This window comes from Homo sapiens, chromosome X (genome assembly GCF_000001405.40).
Source record: "Homo sapiens chromosome X, GRCh38.p14 Primary Assembly".
Classification (NCBI taxonomy): domain Eukaryota; kingdom Metazoa; phylum Chordata; class Mammalia; order Primates; family Hominidae; genus Homo; species Homo sapiens.
The window spans coordinates 27,785,955-27,791,619 of record NC_000023.11 but is presented as its reverse complement, the minus strand read 5'-3'; positions in this window follow the sequence as shown (position 1 = coordinate 27,791,619).

Genomic DNA, 5,665 nt, shown 5'->3' with positions numbered 1-5,665 from the left:
AGCCTCCACCTCCTGCGTTCAAGTGATTCTCCTGCCTCAGCCTCCTGAGTAGTTGGGATTACAGGTGCCCGCCACCATGCCCAGCTAATTTTTGTTTTTTTAGTAGAGATGAGGTTTTACCATGTTGCCAGGCTGGTCTCATACTCCTAACCTCTGGTGATCCACCCTCCTCGGCCTCCCAAAGTGCTAGGATTACAGGCGTGAGCCACCGTGCCCTGCATCATCATTATTTAAAATTTTTCTTTGTCTACTTGTAATTTTGTCCATTTTTGCCTGTGTATGTAGAGTCCATTTCATTTGAGGTGCAGTAATTTAGAATAGTTATGGCCTTCCAGAGAATTACATTTTTGATCATTCGGAAGTAATTTCTATATATCTATTATTGCTTTTTGGCTTTAATATGTATTTTATCTGTTATTAAGATAACTATACTAGATTTGTTTTGATTAGTGATTACATGATAAAACTTTTCCTATACTTTGTCAACCTTTTTATATCTTTTTATTTCACATAATTCTCTTGTAAATAGCACATAGTTGATTTTAAAAATCAAGTCTGAATTGTTTTCTTTATTTTGGCAGAGTCATTCTATTTCCTTCATTAGCTAATGTGTTCACTTTACAAATACTAGTTATTATTTGCATTCTTATTGTCCCACTTGTTTTAGGAGTCCCTTTTTCTGCTTCCTTGCATTATTTTGAATTGCACATTTTTATTATTCCTTATCCCTCTATGATGCTTTTAGTTTTATATTCTTTGATTCCTCTATTCATTTTTCTCTAGAAACTACAACATGCGTGATAAAATTACCAAAATCTTTTATTTGTTGATTATTTCACTGTTCTCTTAGAAAACACTGGAAATGTAGACTCTTCATTACAATTACTTCCTTTGTTGATTTACATACTATTATTTTTGTGGATTTTAATTGGTTAGTAATGGATTTTTTTTTTTTGGTCAGTCTATGTCTTTATTTCACATCCATCATTGAAGGATACTTTTGTGAGAAATAATTTATGTTGGTAGTCATTTTAACACATTGAAGTTATAGTCCTTCAGCTTCTGGATTTTATTGTTGTTGTTGTTGCAAAGGCAGCTGTCCTTTTGACTGTTGATGCTTTAAATGTGATCCCTTCATTAGCTATTTTTAAGATGTCCTTTGTATTTTGTGTTGGTTTTTTGCAGGTATATTATAATATGCCTATGTCTGATTTTCTTTTGTTTATCTTTCATGCAATTTGTTGTGATTCTTGAATGTGTGGATTGATATTTTCTGTTAGTTTTGGAAAATTTGTAGCCCTTTTTTGTTTCAATTTTTTTCTTTCCTTATAAACTTCAATTAAATGTGTTTTAGAACTTTTCATTTTATTCTCTGTTTCTGTCTTTTTTTCTGTATTTTCTCCACTCTTTTATCTTCATGATTCATTCTGGGTAGTTTCTTCTGACCCATCTTTCCAAATCATAAATGTTTCAGCTATATTAAATATGCTGTAAAATCCACCTTCCATGTTCTTAATTTTCGTCATTGTATCTTTCAGTTCTATGATTTCTGGTTGGTTCTTTTAAAAATTGTTTTGTCAGTTTTTACACTTTCTTATTTCTTGGTAAATATTTTAAGTTCAATACTTACCTCCATGATCATAGTTAGCATAACTATGTCTGTTAATTATAATATCTATGTTCATTGTGAGTCTGTTTCAATTATCTTGTCCCCTCATGTGCTAGGTTATGATTATGTATTGATCATTTCTGTACACATTTTTAGATATTTTATTGTGTTCTGAATATGAATTTGATGCCTAGATTCAGGTATTCGTCCTAAAGCCTCTAGGGAGGATTTTTTTTCTGCCTAGTGTTTGGAGGCACTAGCAATGTATTATCACCATAATCCAACTTCAGGGTTTGAGATTTTCTAGAGACCAAATGACCTGAAACTGAGCTTCAGCTCATGCGAGGGCTTATTTCCTTCTGTTTCACACTTATTCCTGTATGCAGGTTTGCAGGAACTATTCTAAATAAAGTATACCTTACAAGACTGCTCTCCATCTTGGCAGGACCTGGAATTCATCTTTTGATCACCTGCCCTTTGAACCTATCACAGGCATTACTTGGCCCCTCAATAACCTGTGAAAACTGGCATCAAATACTGCAAGTACTGCTTCACTTCTGTGGGTTTCTGTCTTCCCCAAGATATTGTCTCTTCACTTCCTCATCATTTTGCTACTTTCTTATTATATATTTTTCTTGTCCATACTTTTAGTTATGTAATTGGGGTGGAGGTTCTCAGCTATGTAATCCATCATTTCAGTAAACTTTATTGGGCTTTTCTCAGTCATCATTTTATACTATTGATACACAAGGGTTGGAAATGAGTGTATGTTCCACCTCCAGTAAGGTTTCCTCTGCCTCTAAATTTGTTAGGGCAAAGACTATGTATGAAACTTTCTCTAGAAAATACAAAAATTGGTACATATTTAGCAACGGTTATATATAGAATGTGCAAGAAAACTTTTTGTCACTTTCTGTTAGCCTTTAAATTCTGTTTTCTGTTTTTAGGCTTGAAAAGATACATTATTATCACACTAATTCTCTTTAATGTAAATCTTGAAATATGTAACAAAAAATTAAGCACAAAGCTTAAACACATTTGGCTGCTGGCAGGATGGATGATTCTCCTTGTTTGCCTCTAGAAAATCATACTGGAACAAACTGCAATAAAAAAAATACTGATATACTTGGCATCTTGAACCATGCTGCATTTCTCATCTGGGCATTTAATCACTTTATTTAACAACTTTTAATAGTAGCTATCATGTGAGGGTATAGAACATGCAGTTCCTGTTTTCAAAGATGCCAGAGTCTCGTGGTAGAATTGTTCAGTAAAGAGATACGTGTAAAAGAGTGTAGTGAGTTACCTGGTAGGGGCATTGACAATCAGTTCTCAGAGTCCTGATGATAAAAGAGTCAATTGACAACAGCACAGCTTTGAGAAACTGATGTATCTTTCCGCTTATCCTAGCTAAGGATGTGCCTAAAAGCTTATTCCAAAGCCAATCCCTCTTTATCCCCTCTCTTCTGCTTTCCAAGGGAGAATGGCATCATTTCTAGGCTTTCTTTACTACTGCATGCCACATTCACAAGTAGAATACTAAAAATATTTAAATAAAAATCATGAGCAAAAATGGCATATAAAATGTGGAAAAAGGGGACAGAAGTAAAAGTAATCAAACACATTGTTTTTGAAAAATTATCAAAGAAAAAACAACGCATTAAAGATATAAAGCAATTTTTTTCTTTGATGACTTTACAATCTTTAAGGTAAATTTTAAATACTTTTCTGAAATATTTCAGATCTTATTTCCTTTTATGCATTAATTTACTGGCAATTGTAATTGTAGATATTGAGTTTATTACCATACATAATATCATGAATTTCAAATTCCTTCAAAAATGAACCTTCAAATAAAAGTGAGTTTTTTGAAATAAACTAACTCATGGCATCACTTCAACTCAGAGACTTATAAAGTCTGTGGTAAGAATTATTTTGATTACTTTTAATTAACTTTGGGCCTATGCAAGTTAGATATATTAACAAAAGGATTTGATTATTTTAAAAAAGATAAAGGGCCACCATTTGGAGGAAAGTACAGATTCAAAACAAATCTTCTTCAGTAAATAAAGGGATATGAAACCAAATTATTTGGACTCTACACTGCAATAGAAAACAAAGAAAAGTAATAAAATGAATTAACTTAGATCAATGCTGATACTCCAGTTAGCCATGTATTCTTACATATTAATTTCTTTCCATTATTCCAAAAGTGTTAGCAAATGAATCTCATTTTAAAATATACTTGCATATGTTAATTTCAGTCTGTCTTCCAAAAATATGAAAATTTGCCTTTAAAAATTAACATGACTAATCTAAGAAAAGTATGTTAAAAATGTAGGTTCATATATTAAATAGTACAAAGACAATATGGTTGAGGATTACTTCTTTTTCATCATATAACACTTCTGTGTTTACTTATATACCCTGATGACTTTTGATGAAAATATAGTTTTAAAGTAGGAAAGCTTTTCTAATACTCATGCTCATGGCCTCATAAAATTTCCTTTTGGTACCACTGATTATATAATATTTATCAAATGTAGATAGAATTAAGCTCATTGATTTCATGAGCATGTGAGGAAATTCACTTTGTACATCTATGCTGAGAATTAACATATACAAATCAATATATACAAACTGTTGCATCTCTCTTTTGATAATGTTATTTCATTTAGTAGATATTAAAGTCCTTTTTAAATTGGACGATGGAGTTATTAGGTAAAGGGAGGAGCAGAAAGAAATGTTAATATCTTTGTTTCAACCTACATTTTAATTTTTGTCTTATAATTATGACTTTTGGATGATATGTGCCTTGTCACCTACGTGTCTGATTATTAAGTAACAATTTTAATTAAAAATATATGTATCAGTCAGGGGCCAGGCATAAAGGTAATTTAAGCTATGGAGTTCAATAGAGGGAATTTAAATTGGGAATATTAATGTCAAAAAGTGTTAGAAGAACTGAAAGGGCAAAAAGAGGACCATGAGGCAATCTGGCTGTCAGCACTGAAGGAAACAGGCCCTAGTGCTAGAGAGGCAAAGATGTGAGGTGCTGTTACCAGGTGATGTTACCAGGTAGCGAACAGAAGTAAGGGCCTTCTGGTAGGAGCCAGAACTTAAGAAGGGGGAGGGCCTCTGGAAGCTAGAACCACATGGGAGAAGCAGCCATAGCCAAGAAGGCCATCTGAAGCAGTGAGAGGTGGGAGAAATACCTTAGATTCTCCTCCCCATTCATCCTCAAATATCCTGCCAGTAGCTTTCAGTGGCAGAATTCAGTCAGAAGCTAATTGGTAAGTAATTGGTAAACTAATCAGTAAGGGATATGTACTTGTGGGGCTCGGTCACCCAATACACACAGTAGAGCAGGAGGAAAGAAGGACATGGCTCTAAGTGCATGTTGGCCGACAAACAGAACAGTATATTCAAAATAGTCAGTAGAAAAGAAAAAAATAGCATTATATAATATTATTTATATAACGTTATTTATAACATAACATAATCTCAAATTTAGAGAAGATTGGAAGAAATCAGACTAAAAAATGACAAACTTTAAATAATTGCATGGCTTTGAGGTAGTAGGAAAAGATTTTTAAATAAAAAATTTAAACAGTGTACCAAAAGGCACTTGATAAAAAGAAATGTTAACCTCTTCTGAAAAATTAATAAATATAAATATAAGGATTCTTGCTTATATGTGATAAAGAATACCTTTGTAACAGCTACATTGTGAAGCACTGAATTTACATTTAATTCTGAAATTAGACAATGCTGATATTGCTACTGTATTTCTTGGTATTGCTCTGCTAGTCCTGGCCTATGGAACAGTGTGGCAAAACAAAATGAGATATAGTTATGTGAAGGTAGTGAAGAAAATTACCATTATTTCCAAATAATGTTATCTACATAAAAACTCAGAAGCTTATATGAAAAAATATTTCAACTTAAAGCGCATTTGATTACTGAGAACAAAAAATAAATAACAGTTGCTAATAAAACTTTTATGTATTATCACAATTAATGTGGTGGCTGGGAGCGGTGGCTTATGCCTGTAAT